This window comes from Homo sapiens, chromosome 2, assembly GCF_000001405.40.
Source record: "Homo sapiens chromosome 2, GRCh38.p14 Primary Assembly".
Lineage (NCBI taxonomy): Eukaryota > Metazoa > Chordata > Mammalia > Primates > Hominidae > Homo > Homo sapiens.
Genome location: NC_000002.12, coordinates 80,944,320 through 80,963,223, shown reverse-complemented (window position 1 = coordinate 80,963,223; position 18,904 = coordinate 80,944,320). Strand labels below are relative to the sequence as shown.

The window sequence follows — 18,904 nt, the reverse complement described above, 5'->3', positions numbered from 1 at the left end:
AAATGCAGAGAACCCCACTAACATACTTCACAAGAATATCATCCCTAAGACACATAATCATCAGATTCTTCCAGGTTAAAATGAAAGAAAAAATGTTGAAGAAAGCTGGAGAGAAAGGTCAGGTCACCTACATAATGAAGCCAGTCAGACTAATGACAGACTTCTCAGCAGAAATACTGCAAGCCAAAAAAGATCGGGGGCCAATATTCAACATTTTTTTTTTGAGATGGGGTCTCATTCTGTTCCCTAGGCTGGAATACAGTGGTACAATCCCGGCTCACTGCAACCTCCACCTCACAGGCTCAAGTGATTCTCCCACCTTATCCTCCTAAGTAGCTGGGACCACAGGCACATGCCACCACACAGGGCTAATTTATTGTATTTTTGGTAGAGAATAGGTTTGCTTTGTTGTCCGAGCTGGTCTTAAACCTCTGAGCTCAAGTGATCTGCCCACCTCAGCCTCCCAAAGTGCTGGAATTATAGGCATGAGACACTGCACCTGGCCAATATTCAACATCCTTAAAGAAAAGACATTCCAACCAAAAATTTCATATCTGACCAAAGTAAGCTTCATAAACAAAGGAGAAATAAGATCCTTTTCAGACAAGCAATTGCTGAGGAAATCTGTTACCATGAGACCTGTCTTCCAAGAGCTTCTGAAGGAAGCACTAAATATGGAAATGACTGTTATCAGTAACTACAAAAATGCATTGAAGTACTCAGACCAGGAACACTATAAAGCAGTCACACATTAAATTAAATTCCTAATTTAATTCCTAATTAAATTAGGAATTAATTTAATTCCTAATTAATTAAATAAAATAATTAGGAATAGAGCTAACTAGGGTGGTGAAATAACTAGAACTGGAAAAAGCTGTTTTAAAATGTGTATAGAACCAAACAAGTCTGCAGAATATACAGCCAACATCATGATGACAGGATCAAATCCACATATATCCTATCTTTGAATGTAAGTGGGCTAAATGCACCAATTTAAAGACATAGAGTGGCAACTTGGACAAAGAACCAAGATCTAATCGTATGTGGTCTTTAAGAGATCCATCTCACAGGCAATGACACCCACAGGGTCAAAATAAAGGGATGGAGAAAAATCTACCAAACAAATGGAAAACAGAAAAAATCAGAGATTATAATCATAATTTCAGACAAAATAGACTTTAAACCAACAAAGACCAAAACAGACAAAGAAAGATATTACATAATGATGTAAAGGGTTAAATTCAACAAGAAGACCTAGCTATCTAAATATATATGCACACAACACAGGAGCATCCAGATTAATGAAGCAAGTTTTTAAAGACCTTCAAAGAGACTTAGACTCCCACACCATAATAGTATTATGACAGTAATAGACAGATCATCAAGGTAGAAAATTTACAAAGATATTCAGGACCCAAATTCAGCACTGAATCAAATGGGCCTGATAGTCATCGACAGAAGTTTCCAGCGAAGAATAATAGAGTATATAATATTCTCATTGCCACAGGGCACAGACTCTAAAATTGACCACACAATTGGACACAAAACAATCCTCAGCAAACACAAAAGAACTGATATTATACCAAAGACTCTCTCAGACCACAGCACAAAACAAATTAGAAATCAAGACTAATGAAATCACTCAAAACCATACAATTGCAGGGAAATTAAATAACCTGCCTCTGAATGACTTTTGGGTAAATAATGAAATTAAGGCAGAAATTAAGAAGTTCTTTAAAACTAATGAGAACAAAGATACAACATTCCAGAATCTCTGGGACAAAGCTAAAGCAGTGTTAGGAGGGCAATTTATAGCTCCAACTGCCCACATCAAAAAGTTAGAAAGATGTCCATTTAACAGTCTAACATCACAACTAAAAGAACTAGAGAACCAAGAGCAAACCAACCCCAAAGCTAGCAAAAGACAAAAAATAACCAAAATCATAGGTCAACTGAAGGAGATTTAGACACAAAAAACCATTCAGATCAATGAATCCAGGAGTTGGTTTTTTGAAATATTCAATAAAATAGACCACTAGCTAGACAAATAAAGAAGAAAAGAGAGAAGATTCAAAGAAACACAATTAAAAATGACAAAGGGGATATTATCACTGACCCCACAGAAATACATATAGCCTACAGAAAGTATTATGAACAGCTGTTTGCACATAAACTAGAAAATTCAAAAGAAATTGATAAATTCCTGAATGCATACACCCTCCCAAGACCCCATCAGGAAGAAATTGAATCCCTGAACAGATCATAATAAGCTCTGAAATTAAATCAGTAATGAATAACCTACCAACTAAAAAAGGCCAGGACCAAATGGATTCACAGCCAAATTCTACCAGATGTACAAAGAGGAGCTGGTACCATTCCTACCAAAACTATTCCAAAAAATTGAGGAAGAGGAACTTCTCTCTAACTCATTCCATGAGGTCAGCATCATCCTGACACCAAAACCTGGCAGAGATACAAAAAAAAAAAACTTCAAGCCAATATCCTTGATGAACATGGATTCAAATATCCTCAACAAAATAGTGGCAAACTGAATCCAGCAGCACATCAGAAAGCCTATTCTCCACAATCAAGTAGGTTTTATCCCTGGGATGCAAGGTTGGCTCAACATACTGAAATCAATAAATGTGATTCATCACATGTATAGAACTAAAGACAAAAACCGCATGTTTATCTCAGTAGATGCAGAAAAGGCTTTCAGTAAAATTCAACATCCTTCATATTAAAATCTCTCAATAAACTAGCAATCAGGCAAGAAAAAGATATAAAGACATTCAAATAGGAAAAGAGGAAGTCAAACTATCACTATTTGCAGACAGCATTTCCAGATTCTATATTCTAGTTTCTATTTCTAGATTCTATATCTAGAAAACCCCATAGTCTAGGCACAACAGCTCTGTAGGCTGATAAACAACTTCAGCAAAATCTCAGGACACAAAACCAATGTAGAAAAATCTCTAGCATTCCTATACACCCACTGCAGTCAAGCCAAGAACAAAATCAGGAACACAATCCCATTCAGTTTCCACAAAAAGAATAAAATAATTAGGAATAGAGCTAAGGTGGTGAAATAACTAGAACTGGAAAAAGCTGTTTTAAAATGTATATGGAAACAAAAAAGAGCCTGAATAGACAAGGCAATCCTACACACACACTCATACACACACACACACACACACACACACACAAACAAAACAAAACAAAAACAAACAAGCAAACAAACAAAAAAAAAAAACAAAGCTGGAGACATCACGCTACCTCACTTCAAACTATACTGCAGGGTTACAGTAACCAAAATAGCATGATCCTGGTACAAAAACAGACACATAGACCAATGGAACAGAATAGAGGGCCCCAAAATAAGGCCACACACCTAGAACTGTCTGATCTTCAACAAGGCTAACAAAAATAAGCAATGGGAAAAGGACTCCCTATTTAATAAATGGTGCTGGGATAACTGGCTAGCCATATACAGATTAAAACTGGACCCATTCCTTACATTATATACAAAAATCAACTTAAGGTCCATTAACAAATTGAATGTAAAACCCCTAACTACAAAAAGCCTGAAAGACAACCTAGGCAATACCATTCTGGACATAAGAACAGGCAAATAATTAATGACAAAGATGCCAAAAGCAATCGCAACAAACGCAAAATTGACAAATTATATCTAATTAAACTAAGGAGCTTCTGAAGAGTAAAATAAACTATCAACAGAAAAAAACAGACAACCTACAGAATGGAAGAAGATTTTTGCAAACTATGCATCTGACAAAGTTCTGATATCTAGCATCTACAAGGAACTTAAGCAAATTTTTAAAAATCATGTGTATAAAATAATTTCCAAATATTTACCTCCATTTCTGATATGCTCTAATATCCAATTTTTAAACCACTTGTTAGATGCTTCAACTTGGATAATGGTCTATTCATTAAGACTGAATATACCTAGAAATATTTTTTATTTATCTCGCTCTGTTCTGGGTCATTAGTTCCAGATGCTAAAATGTAAACTTTATTCATATTATTTTATTTTTCACTGTAGAGGCTATTCTTTTCAGTCCTTCCTTCATATACAATTTTACCTATTAAGTGATGAATAAAGGACCTACTTTAAGTCATTGTGGAAATAGATAGTCAATCAAGTTGAATCATCTGATAGTCTGATAAGAGTCCTTAGAACAACAACCTATCAATTCTGAAATCAATATCCTCAGAAATGTCCTTGTCCAAATTCTTACCAATATTTTCATAGTCAACTTTGCTTTCATTTATTTGAAATACCCCAATATTTTTCTAATATCTGTCCCCATTTTCCCCTAAAACTTAGTAAGAACCTATATCAACTGCTTTCAACTGAAGAATTATGTCTGACTTAAAAATTGGTACTAAACAAATGATTACAGTCAATGAATCCCCAGAAACAACATGAGATATTCTCTATAGATTAGAATCTAAAAATAGGTGAAATGTAAATAAAATCCTGTTTATATACTGAGAATGGCAAAATGATTGTCCATGATGAATTGTTCTGACTTGTATGAACCTAAGAAAAGGTCATCATTAGGGATGAATTTGGCAGAGATCAGATAGGTATTCCCATTCCAACAATTTAAAGGAAATGAGAAATTAAAAAACAAAAACAAAACAAAACAAGATGGTTGTTTCTATAATACCATTAGATAATAGGGCAGGAGGAAACAAACTTTAACCTCCAACTTCTTGTCTTAAGCCAGGAACTGAATCTGAGAAAGTATATGACATTGCTGTAATAATTTCTGGTCCCTTAAAACTTCAGGCTGACACTCCTGAAAACCAAGGTCACAGAGTCACTTTGTGGGTTAATAAATTACAACTCCAGTTGAATGTACAACATTGTCAGATCTCTTATATGAAAGTTAAGATCCTGACTTTTTAAATAAAGTTATAACCTAATAATTGTAATCAGTGTTTCTTAGAGGACCCAGAGGACTTTTGAAATGCTTTTTAAAAGAGCTGCCTTGTTTGAAAGAGTCGTGACCCTCCTTTCATTACTGTTCACTCGGAGATAAGAATTTACATTCAAAATTGTCTACAGAGTAAAAAGCAGAATCAAAGTTAAGTCCAGAAAGAAATATAGTAATTCACTAACTTATATTGTTCAAAAATAATGGAGGATCAATTTAGTGAATGCTTACTCAAGAAAGTAAGATCTTAACTTGGATTAGACTCAATTTATTGTTATATGTGCACTTATAGGAAATCCTGCATTAAATAAGGTTGTTGAGGCATTTGTCTTCATTTTCAACAGTTAATTAGATTGGTTAATGAAACCTTAGTTTATGGCTAACCAACATAAATGACTTGTAAGGCCAAAGAAAAACTGACATAATGTAGGGAAAGATGTTTAAATATTTGAAAAAGTATTTAAATACTTCCTGTTTTCCTATGTTCTCCTTCACTATATTATTTGACAGTGTTCAGATGACTTAATTTCCTTATCATCAGGAATACATTGATGTGAAAAACAATAAAATATTTTTTAAAACAATTTATATATGTTTTCTGCTGATCGAAAGTGTTGGTAAGAATGTTTATAGTTAAAACTGGATACCTCTTCTCAGTAAAACCGGAAATTTTAAGATTGTGAAGTGGATATAGAAGCAACTAACTCCTAGAAGAAATATGGATCTTATCAGCATTATAGTCATAGCTGATGACAAGTTTTAACTGTGGTGTTTAAATACAGTTAAACAGATATGATGACATAATCGTATTCTAGGAAGTAAATTGATCTGAGCTCTCTAACTGTAGTTAACATATCACAGAGTACTAAAGAAGAGTACAAACAATTCATAAAGGTTTTACTGAATTTACTCATCTAAAACTACTTTGGTTACAACACTCACCGAATTCCCAGATGTGAGTAAGTTCATAGACACTGAGCCTTGAATGAAGTTAGTATGTGATGCTATCAATGAATCTTAATTGACACAATCACCTTGTGCACCGCTATGAGCTAAAGAGGTTTTTCTCACTCTCATCTGATGTTGCCTAGTTGGCCATCTGGTGTATTAGCTATCCATAGGCTCTTGTACTGAGGGACCTGAACAGCAAATGAGAAGTTACCAATTCCACTACAGAATTATCATGTAGGAGGTCATGATCAGCATTAGAAGCATAGAATCATAGGTATTTAGAATCCAACTTACAATGTACGTGAAGGACCTCTTCAAGGAGAACTACAAACCACTGCTCAAGGAAATAAGAGAGGACACAAACAAATGGAAAAACATTCCATGCTCATGGATAGGGAGAATTAATATGAAAATGGCCACACTGTCCAAAGTAATTTATAGATTCAATACTATTCCCATCAAGCTGCCATAGACTTTCTTCACAGAATTAGAAAAAAACTACCTTAAATTTCATATGGAACCAAAAAAGAGCCAGTATAGCCAAGACAATCCCAAGCAAAAAGAGCAAAGCTGGAGGCATTATGATACCTGACTTCAAACTGTTAAAGGTCAGGAAACAACAGATGCTGGAGAGGATGTGGAGGAATAGGAATGCTTTTACACTGCTGGTGGGAGTGTAAATTAGTTCATCCATTGTGGAAGACAGAGTGGTGATTCCTCAAGGATCTAGAACCAGAAATACCATTTGACCCAGCAATCCCATTGCTGGGTATATACCCAAAGGGTTATAAATCATTCTACTAAAAAGACACATGCACAAGTATGTTTATTGCAGCACTATTTGCAATAGCAAAGACTTGGAACCAACTTAAATGCTCATAAATGATAGACTGGATAAAGAAAATGTGGCAAATATACACCATGGAATACTATGCAGCCATAAAAAAGAATGAGTTCATGTCCTTTGCGGGGACATGGATGAAGCTGGAAACCGTCATTCTCAGCAAACTAACACAGGAACAGAAAACCAAACACCAGATGTTCTCACTCATAAGTTGGAGTTGAACAATGAGAAAACATGGACACAGGGAGGGGAACATCACACACCAGGACCTGTCAGGGGGTGGTGGGCAAGCGGAGGGATAGCATTAAGACAAACACCTAATGCATGCAGGGCTTAAAACCTAGATGATGGGTTGATAGGTGCAGCAAACCATCATAGCACATGTATACCTATGTAACAAACCTGCACGTTCTGCACATGTATCCCAGAACTTAAAGTATAATAAAAAATGTAAAAGAATCCTAGGTATTTAGAAGAAAATTAAGTAGATCCAAGATTTCAGTAAAACTCAGCATAAGTATGTGTAAGGGATGAGGATTAAACTACACCTGCTATCAGGGAAAGCTATAAACATTTGCTGCTGCTTCTAGATACCAGAGAATGAACAAAGAGAAATACTAATAATTGTCTTCACTATGAGGAAGTAATATTGCTGACAGTTATTTGTGATAACTATTTACTATTAGTATCATATTTTCATATGCATAACTGTTGTGTGTAATATAACTATGTGCCAGATTAATTTTGAAAATTTTTATTTGATTATAATTCTAAATTTGGCTCCCTACATTCAGTTTTCTGATGCTAGGCTGTCATGATCACATGATTACACTGTAAAAAATAAAAAGAACATTGACTGTAACATTTAATAAATGTTTGCTGAAAAATATATGCCTTTTTTCCCCCTTAGCACAGAAATTTGAAGACAGTTTTCATTTTTTATATCCTATATAGAGTTCTAAGCTGAAATCTCTGGAGGAGATGAGACAAGGGAAGACAAAAAAAAGGTTTCATATCTCATCTGTGCAATGCAGGCTAAATGCAGGTGGACTTCTGATGGGGCCCTGAAGGACAAGGTTGATCTAGTGGGAGTTGGCTGAGACCAAGAAAGGTTAAGAATGAACTCATGTCTAAAAAAATGAAAGAAATCAAAGCTAAGAAGCCAAACATGTTGTCAAATCCAAGGGGAAAACATAACTAAGATTAGACAAGCAGGTCAAAAGTTTAAGGGAAAGTAAGATTCACTTATCAAACATTTTGAATCCATGCAATGTGTTTAGTGTCTGAGGATATCCACACTGAAAAGCTCACATCCTAGTGTTGGAGACACACATAAATAGATCACTATAACACAAAAACTTTTTTATCATAGAAAATGGAACACAGTATTATAGACGCAAAAGGGAGTGTCAGTTAAAGCAGTTGGAATGGAAGATACAAAAGGTTCTCTGAAAAAAAAAATGAAGCTCAAGCTTATACTTAAAGAATACATAGGAGTGAAATAGATAACTGATATCTGATGATAAACTCAGAAACACTCTAGGAGAGAGAGTTAAGATGCCCCAAAGTATAAAATCAAGACACAGAACAAGTAATATTGGAAACAATGAACAAGTAAGTGCTGCTAGATATAGAAGTGCAAGGGAGAATATGGCAAGATGGTGGAGGATAGAGGATGTGGGTAAAGGAAAAAAGATGTTCTCTATTATGCCATGTTGAGAAGCTTAGATAATAGCCTGTAAGAGATGGATGGCAATTAAAATGTTTGGGAGATTTTATTATAGGATAAGTGATTTCCTTTGATCTAGGATTTCCCTTAAATAAACATCCCCTGCCTCTTTCCCCACCTCCTACTCCCTGCTTCCCACTGAGTATAAATGGAATTATCTAATTGAGGAGTTAGAAGGAAAATGATCACCCTCTTATAGGCTATCTCTTGGGTATGCCTTCCTTCTGAGAGTGCCTTCTGGTCTGCTCCTTCACTGAGTGGATGGCTTAGAGTGGCAACCTATGACACTATGCGGGAGACCTGATTGATCAGCTGTGCTCCTGACTGATTGCAGCTGTCTGTCAAATTTAACGGAGTGTTGACCTGTCTCTTACTCTAGATTTGAAGACACTTTCTACTGTCTGCTTTTCTATAATAAATGTAACATTTTGATCTCTAATTGATTTGTTCAGGGAGGGAAGAAAAAAGATAGTGTTTATTGATGTCATAAAACTCTAATACCTTTCATTTTGGATGGTTCACTGGTAGTTGTGCTTAAGGTCAGTTTCAGAATTACAAGGTCTGTCAAAAAACATTAATTACTTCTACATGAGGTGAGGAGGAACAAGAAGTTTGACAATGTGCATAAAAAGAAAAAGGTAGAGTTGAGGAATGCTTAAAGAAGAAAAATAGGGCTCAGTAAATAAGATGTTGCAGTATGGAAAAGAAGGTAGTAAGGATGGCACTTAAGTTGTTAGTTTAGGTGACCATGTGAATAGTAAGACCACCAACTCATAGAATAAATAAGAAAGCTCTAATTTAAGAAAGAAACAATTTGGAATTAGATTTGAGTTTTCTGTGTGATATCTAAGTGTACATGTCTAGCTGAAGTTCGATATATGAGTCCAAGGACCCGCAGGAGATGGCTTGTTGAGAGGTAGTAAGTGAAATCATGAGAGTGTGAGAAGTTACCTGAGAAATAATCTAGAGAGTGAGAACAATAGAGTAAAGACAGACAATGGACCAAAATAACTTTTAAATGGTGTGCGGTAGAATACTATCTCACTTAGAAGACAAAGGAAAACCAAGAAGTTGTCACTGAAGCAAAGGCAGTCACACGTTTATAAAAAAGAAATAAACAAAGATAACAAATTTGCAAAGAGTTTCATTTACAGAGGAAGTAAAAAACTGTAATTAATGTGACAGTTAGTGCCTTACCATGGCATTATAGTTTTAATCTATGTTTAAACAGTGAAATGACCAGATCTCTAAAAAACACAGAACATAATGCAAAATAAATTCAAAAATATTAAATTTAAGATTTTTTTTTTATTCAGGGAGACCATAATGAAAGTGAAAAGACAGGTGACACTCTGGGAAAAGATATCTGAGGCACATTCAGTAAATAAGCATTTAATATATGGTATATATAAAATTATCAACAACAACAAAAGCTTAATGACTCAAAAGGGAAAAACTAGGGGGAAAATGTGAGCATGCAATTACAGAAGAGAAAAGATGAATGGCAGATAAATATATGAAAGGATTCACATGTAATTAGCATGTAAGGAAATACAAAAATAAATCCAAAATAATATAGTATTTCACATACACCAGATTGACAAAAAAAATGATAAAATTAAATATCGCCATGAATAGTTAGCCAATTAAAATATCTTATTTACTCTTAGGAGTAAAAGTTGGTGAAACCCTTTTAGAAATATTTTGATGCTTTTTAGCAAAGTTAAACATGTACACACTCTATGATTCAGCTATTGCACTGAAAAGGACAAAGGACACAAACAAACACTTTTCAAAAGAGGACACATACGTGGCCTCTTTTAGGTGACCATGTGAATAGTAAGACCACCGACTCATAGAATAAATAAGAAATCTCTAATTTAAGAGAGAAACAATTTGGAATTAGATTTGAGTTTTGAACAAGAATATGAAAAAATGCTCAACATCACTAATCATTAGAGAAATGAAAATCAAAATCACAATGAGATACCGTCTCATCCCAGTCTGAACGGCTATTACTAAAAAGTCAAAAAATAACAGATGCTGATGAGGTTGTGGAGAAAAGGAACACATACACTGCTGTTGGGAATGTAAATTATTTCAGCCATTGTGGAAAGCAGTTTGGTGGTTTCTCAAAGAACTTAAAACAGAATTGCCATTTGACTCAATAATCCAATTATTAGGTATATACCCAAAGGAATATAATTGTTGTACCATAAAGACACATGCACATGTATATTCATCACAGCACTATTCACAATAACAAAGACATGGAAGCCACATAAATACCCAACAGCGGTGGTCTGGATAATGAAAATATAGTAAATATACACCATGGAATACTATACAACCGTAAAAAGGAATGAGATAATGTCCTTCACAGCAACATGGTTGAAGCTGGAGGACATTACCCTAAGAAAACTACTAATACAGGAACATAAAACCAAATATCACATGTTCTATTTTTCAGTGGGCGATAAATGTTGAGTACATATGGGCACAAAAAGGGAGCAGCAGACACCAGAGCCTATCTGAAAGTGGAGGGTGGGAGGAGGGAGAGCATCCAAAAACTACCTATAGGGTACTATGATGATTTTCTGGGCGATGGAATAATTTGTCTATCAATTCTGTTGCATGCACTGTACCTATATAACAAATCTGCACATGTATTACTGAATGTAAAATTAAAGGTTAAAAAAAAAAATCTCATTACCTCAGACAAGTCTTGTACCAGAAGATAAGTTTAGATAGTTTATATTAGTGTTTTTATTGCATTATATGTATTTATATATACAATATATAAATGTTTGTATATATAAACAATCCTTATAATTTTCAATAAATAACCGATAAAATGAAATATACAATATATGAATCACACTTGCACATATTGGTATGAGATTAAACATCTTGATAGTGTTCAACAAAATAAATAAAGAAGAAGTACAGCTAAATAACACTTGCATAAATTTAAAAGCCAGGCAAAATTAACATATATTGTTTAGGGATACACAAACAAGTGGTAAAACTATAATGAAACTTCAGGGAATTATTAACTTAAGAGCCAGAAGAGTGACCATCTGATGGAGGGGTTTGGATGAGGCTATGATTGTTGACAGGCACAGAGGGACTTCTGGGGTGAAAGTGATACATGTTTATTAGTCTAGGTGATGGCTACACAGGTATTCTCTTTATTGGTTTTTCTTTAAAATGTAGTTACATATTTCATATACTCTTTACAATATATTTTACTATTTAAAGAAAAAATTTTAAACAAAAATAAATAGGATGCTGGAAGGATGTCACTGCTTTCTTAGCTACATACTTGAAATTATTATAAAAAGTATTTTTAGAAAAGTAATAGTAAACAGAACTTCTGCATTGTATAATCTGACAGATTAGCTCTTGGACAAATCAGAAATTCATATATAGCAACATAATTTCACTTGCATGGCTGAGCTGGAAGGCAAGTCAAAAAGAATCCATGGAGATGAAAAATGAAGCTGGGACTGGAATCCAGAGTGGTTAGCGTAACTAAAGCCAGAACTACTGTCCTACTAACAGCAGTGCAGACCTAGAATGGTCACCACAGGAGGCAGGTGACAAGTCCTAGAGCCAAAAACAAGAAAGGATGGGGGGCAAATTAAGAAACCTGCATCAAATTGGAACTCTCAGAAGGCTATAATTTCAGTGAAAGTCTGAATGAGGAGAACAGAAACAAAATGCAACAAAAATACCGTGACAAAAGACTTCTTTGTCTCTGCCTTTGGGTCATGGTGGGACACTTACATAAGGAATTTTTTCTCTAAAGAGAACAGAAAGTGACTCAAGAAAAAAACAATAAGCAGTAAAGAAAATAATGTCGGAATGCATTATCTACCCTAGGCCTAGTAATTTTATGGGTGGATTCTAGCAAATGCTCAAGCAATACATATAATCTCAATCTTATACAAGTTGTTTCAGAAAAAAAAAATAAAGAAATAAATGTTATCATGGTCTTAACAGATTCATGAAATTTATTTTCTGAAGTTCATCTTTTCTTTATATTTTCAAACTTCCCAAAACCACAAATGTAACCAAAGTTCCTTAACTTGATAAATGCCACATACCCCATGACAAAAAAATTAATGAGAAGTGGTACATGTGCTGTATGTCAGAAACAAGGCTTGGGATTTTTGTTATCACCATCGGATTTCATATTTCCTTTATATTACAATAATTCAAGGGGGTGAGCACGGTGGCTCATACCTGTAATCCCAGCACTTTGGGAGGCCAAGGCAGGTGGATCACAAGGTCAGGAGATCGAGACCATCCTCGCTAACATGGTGAAACCCTGTCTCTACTAAAAATACAAAAAATTAGCCAGGTGTGGTGGTGGGCACCTGTAGTCCCAGCTACTTGGGCGGCTGAGACAGGAGAATGGCGTGAACCCAGGAGACAGAGCTTTCAGTGAGCTGAGATCACACCACTGCACCCCAGCCTAGGTGACAGAGCGAGACTCCATCTCAAAAAAATAAAAAAAATAAAAAATAATAATTCAAGAGAAAAGATGAGGTATGAGGTTTAGGAGGGAAAAGATAAAATGGTGATTATTTTCAGGCACCACAATCATCTATCTACATAGAAAATTCAATGTAATATACATCAAACTAGAAATGTGTGGTGTTCCAGAATCCATATAAACTGTTTCAAGAAGAGAATGAGCAGCAAAATCTAATGCTAGTAGGTCAAGTATTATGAAGTACAGACAATGAATGCTTAATTTGACATTGTGCACCTGATTGGTGTCTTGGACAACACCAATTTCTGTAGAGGGGTAGGGAAACAGATTGAGAAAGGCACAAAAAGAAGTGCACATAGCAGTTTTCTTTCTGTTCTTTCACAGAGTATTATAAATGGGAATAGAAAATTGTGGAAGTAGCTGCAGGAAATATGAATTTTGAATTCTTCTTAAGATGGATGTTATATGCTAATGGAAATAACCAGGGGCAAGGGGTGGCAAGAGATACAAAAGAGAGGGGAACAATACAAAAGTTACAGCCTTAACACGCAAAAGAGAATGATATTCATTTTAAAAGGAATTAATGTAGACTTTATAGGTTCAAACACGTAGTTGTTGACTTTGAGAATAAAGGAGAGGGAATAGGATTGAAAAGAAATATAAAGAGGTGTTCAAATACTTGGACTGTATAAATTTAAAAAAAAACAGAAGTAAATAAAATGGGGTTCTAGGCACAGCGTGGAGATATTTTTATTACATTGAAAAAAAAGGAAAAGAGACAGAAGGAGTTAATAGGTGGAACTACTGAAAATTGGTTAGATCATTTATAAAAAACTCTTCTCTTGCCCATACAGTAGGCATCATGGTCATCTGAGAGTGAGATATGGAAAAGTTGGATAGGGGACTTTTGAACCTACTTCAAGGATTATGAATTTCTAATGACACAGATCTGCTTGGTTTGATGCTTTCCCCCAGAAGTACTTGGATACTCAGTGAAGGACCAGAGAAGTGGTGGGGTTGCTGGCACAGAGCTGCAATTTTGTGGATAACCCCAAAGGGAATCAAGGTATTAAGAGTGTTGTAGAGAGAACAGTTCATATATTAACCAGGGCCAGGGCCCTTCTCTGTCCCGAGCAACAAAGCAGGGCTGATTAGGTACGTTATGTGAGAACATTCATTAATGATATACCAGCAGGGGCACAAGAGTGCAGAACAATAGGGAATTTTGAGTAATATTTTATACTTATATTCATAATCCTGTTTTTAATTTTTATGATTTTAATTGTTGAGGTAAAATAGGCTCAGTGTGAAATGCATGTAAAGATTTTCCCAAATACGTCTGAGAATTATAAAGTCTTTACATTTCTTCTAGTTACCTCTTGCTCCAGTTTTCTTCTTCTAATGAATTCTCCATCTTAGGAATGAATTTCTTTCTCCAGCACATATCAAGTTGTAAATAAACAGCACAACTTAGAATTGTGTAGTATTGCCTAACTGATTATTGCTCCTTTTCTGGGGTGATTTTTCCATTACAGACTTGATTTTTATTTATTTCCTTTTTCTATTTTTTGGTATAAATATTTATTCAACTAGAGGTATAATAATATTACATTTTTGCTAGGAATTTAAATAATTTTAATTTATTGGTATTATAAATAGTACTGTTATCAATATCATAAAAAAAGTCTTTTCAGTCTTCTTTCTTTTTTTAACTTTTATTTTAAATTCAGGGGTACATGTGCAGGATGTGCAAGTTTGTTACACAGGTAAACATGTGTCATGGTCGTTTGTTGTACAAATTATTTCATCACCCAGGTATTAAGCGTAGTATCCATTGGCTATTTTTCCCGATTCTTTTCCTCCTCCCATGATCCACCCTCCAGTAGGCCCCAGTATGTGTTGTTCCCCTCTAACTGTGCATGTGTTCTCACATTTAGCTCCCATGTATAAGTGAGAACATGCAGTATTTGGTTTTCTGCTCCAAAGTTACTTTGCTAAGGATAATGGCCTCCAGTCCATTCACATCCCCACAAAAGACATGATCTCATTATTTTTTATGGCCCCATAGTATTCCATAGTGCATACATACCAGATTTTCTTTAACCAGTCTATTATTGATGGACATTTGGATTGATTCCATGTTTTTGCCATTGTGAGTAGTGCTTCAGTGAACATATGCATGCATGTGTCTTTATAATAGAACCTTTGGGTACATACCCCGTAATGGGATTGCTGGGTCAAATGGTATTTCTGACTTTAGGTCTTTGATGAATTGCCACACTGTCTTCCACAATGGTTGAACTAATTTACACTCCGAGAAACAATGTAAAAGCATTCCTTTTTCTCCATAACCTCGCCAGCGTCTGTTACTTTTTAACTTTTTAGTAATAGCCATTCTGACCGCTGTGAGATGGTATCTCACTGTGGTTTTCATTTACATTTTTCTAATGATTAGTAATGTTGAGATTTTTATATGCTTTTTGGCCCCATGTATGTCTCCTTTTGAAAAGCATCTGTCATGTCCTTTGCCCACTTTTTAATGGGGTTGTTTGCTTTTTTTCTTGTATATTTCTTTAAATTCCTTATAGACGCTGGATACTAGACCTTTGTCAGATGCATAGTTTGAAAAAATGTTTTCCCATTCTGCAGGTTGTCTGTTTACTCTGTTGATAGTTTCTTTTCCTGGGCAGAAGCCGTTTAGTTTAATTAGATCTCATTTGTCAATTTTTGTTTTGGTTGCAATTGCTTTTGGTGTCTTTGTTGTAAAATCTTTGCCCATGCCTATGTCCTGAATGATATTGCCTTGGTTGTCTTCTAAGGTTTTTATAGTTTGGGGTTATACATTTAAGTCTTTAATCCATCTTGAGTTGGTTGTTGTATACGGTGTAAAGACGGGGTACAGTTTCAATTTTCTGCATATTGCTAGCAAGTTATCCCAGAACAATTTACTGAATGGGGTATCCTTTCCCCATTGCTTGTTTTTGTCAGGTTTGTCAAAGATCAGATAGCTGTAGGTGTGTGGTCTTATTTCTGGGCTCTCTATTCTGTTCCATTAGTCTATGAGTCTGTTCTTGTACTAGTACCATGCTTTTTATTTATTTTCTTCTTTTTTTTCTTTTGAAATATGGTCTCACTCTGTTGCCTATGCTGGAGTGCAGTGGTGTGACCATGGCTCACTGCAGCCTCAGTCTGGACTCAAGTGGTCCTCCCGCCTCAGCCTCCCAAGTAGCTGGGATTACAGGGTGTGAACCACTCTACACTTTTCTAAGTGCTACTGATACAAGGGAGTTTTATGAATAAGACTTTCACTGAAGCTTTACCATAATAGAGAAAAACCTACAGTGCAAGCAACCACTTAAAATTTACTAATAAATAGGATAACTCCAAAAATCCATCCACCATTTTTTTCAGTGGAAAATTATCACTGGCCTTGACAAGAGCTGCTTTTGTGCATGATGAGAGGATAAATATAATTCATTAGGTGCTTTACCAAACAGAGAACAACTCATACCATACCTCCACCTTAGAAGCTTTAATTATTCACAGCTAGTTCAACATGATGTATTTTCTGAAACATAATCAAAATCTTACACAGGTATCCCTCCTTCTAGTTTTATCTGAAAGAAGAATGGACAGTATTAAAATTTATTCGCCTGATGTCAAAAACAAATGCACATACAACATGATTTATATTTCTCTTTCTTTGAATGTATATGAATTTCATGTGCATGTAAGTATGTAAAAATGTTTTGAATGAGGTCAATAAACTCATATCATTTGCCAATGTTTTTGACTTGATTTAGTGGTTCTGGTTTAATATGGGTATCTTTCTATGTTAGATTCATATCAACCTGTTGTGATGACTATATAATTTTTAATAATGTGAGATAAAATAATATTTTAATAATTTAGTAACTAAGGGAATTTTTTCCTAGATGTTGCTTCTACAATCATGGCTACAAATAAACTCCTTGAAAATACGTCTGTGAAGGCCTATGCAACACTTCCATTAGAATATGTCTACAAAAGGCAATTTATGGCTCAAATAATATGTTAACTTATAGTTTCACAGTTACTGACAAATGTCTACTTTCATTTTCTATCCGAAACATCTATTCAAATTTACATTCTTAGAAATAATATATGAAAGGATCTGTTTTCTAATGCCCTAAACAATATTGAATATATGTAATGTCTAATTTTTGTTAATTTTTAGCATTATTGTTTTCATAGGAATCCCTTAGATCATGAGAACAAACCTCATTTTATATAGTTATTAAAGATTTACATTTCTACTGTTAATTTCCTTTCTGTAAGTTTGCTAATGTTACTATTAAGTTGTTCAACATTTTTTCTTATTCATTTACAGAAGTTCCTATGTGTTATAAATCTTAGTCCTTCCTATATGTGAAATACTTACAAATAGACTTTTTTCCTTGCAGTCTCTTCTTTGCTTAAGATATCATTCAGTGTATTAAAATTGGAATGTTTACATTACCAATGTGTCTTTTCTTGGTGTTTGGGTTTTGGTTTTTATTTATAAAGACCTTCTCTCTACTGTAATTATATAAAAACAATTTTTAGTAGTTTTCTCATATTTTTAAATTTGCCAAGTTCAAGGTCAATCAGTTCAATAATTAGAAATTTGAAAATCTTAAAAGGTCGGCCGGGCGCGGTGGCTCACGCCTGTAATCCCAGCACTTTGGGAGGCCGAGGCGGGCGGATCACGAGGTCAGGAGATCGAGACCATCCCGGCTAAAACGGTGAAACCCCGTCTCTACTAAAAATACAAAAAAAATTAGCCGGGCGTAGTGGCGGGCGCCTGTAGTCCCAGCTACTTGGGAGGCTGAGGCAGGAGAATGGCGTGAACCCGGGAGGCGGAGCTTGCAGTGAGCCGAGATCCCGCCACTGCACTCCAGCCTGGGCGACAGAGCGAGACTCCGTCTCAAAAAAAAAAAAAAAAAAAAAAAAAAAAGAAAATCTTAAAAGGTCTTTTTCCTCAAATTAGGCTCTATAATTTTATAAACAGAGCAGTTATAAAAAAAAAACTTGCATAAAATTAGACTTATTTTAACCTGGTGTTCACCACTCAATAGTTACATATCTTTGGGCACATTATAAAACCTATGTAAGCCTCAATTTCCATATCTGTCTAACATAAATAATAATTACAATTAACAAATAGATTGGTAGTGAGGATTAAACAAATAATGTATGCATTTAGGCATACAAATAATCAATAAATATTAACTTTGTTCTGTCTTGGTACATTGAATTTACTCAATAAATATTTGAAGTACACTGAGTAAAACTAAGTATTCTTAATGGTTAAATATTTAAGAACCCTAGAATTTTTATTGTGTTCATTTTTTGAATTATGTATTTAAAATTATGAATTTTACCTTTAAATGCATGCCCCAATACATCAATTTGAATAAATCACACTAATGATATGCAATTCCTATATAAAGATGAGTCTATTTCTAGTTGCTCTCTTCTACAACATTGATGTATTTGACATTTCTTGCATGTAAAATACTTTTAAATTTTCAAAGTTTTTACTATTCTCACACTATCCATTAGGAAGATATGAAAGCTAGCACCAACTTAATAGTACACAAAAACAGAGGCCTAAAGAGATTCAATGACTTTCTCAAGTTCATATTATAGATTAATTGATCCATAATTATATTTTATATCCTCTGCCTCTTAGTCCAGGATTCGATTATACTTGCTACACCAGTGGTAACCAAGTTTTGAATCATCAAACAGAGTTTCTCAAACCCAAATATGCATCAGAATTATCTGGAGGGCTTATACAAACCCAGAGCGTTGGATCTAACCCCAAGAGTTTCTGATTAGCAGGTCTAGCTTTTCCAAGAAGTGTCCAGATGACAGTAATGCGGCTCATC

At 34.8% G+C, this 18,904-nt stretch overlaps 1 long non-coding RNA gene across 1 annotated transcript in view; it reads left to right on the top strand.

Moving 5' to 3' along the window:
- The first annotated feature begins 8,216 nt into the window (after positions 1-8,216).
- LOC105374827 (uncharacterized) overlaps positions 8,217-18,904 on the top strand; it is a 42,559-nt gene continuing 31,871 nt past the window's right edge. Inside the window, exon 1 of the long non-coding RNA XR_940292.2 lies at positions 8,217-8,376. This is a non-coding gene — a long non-coding RNA (uncharacterized LOC105374827). The remainder of the gene's footprint in view (positions 8,377-18,904) is intronic.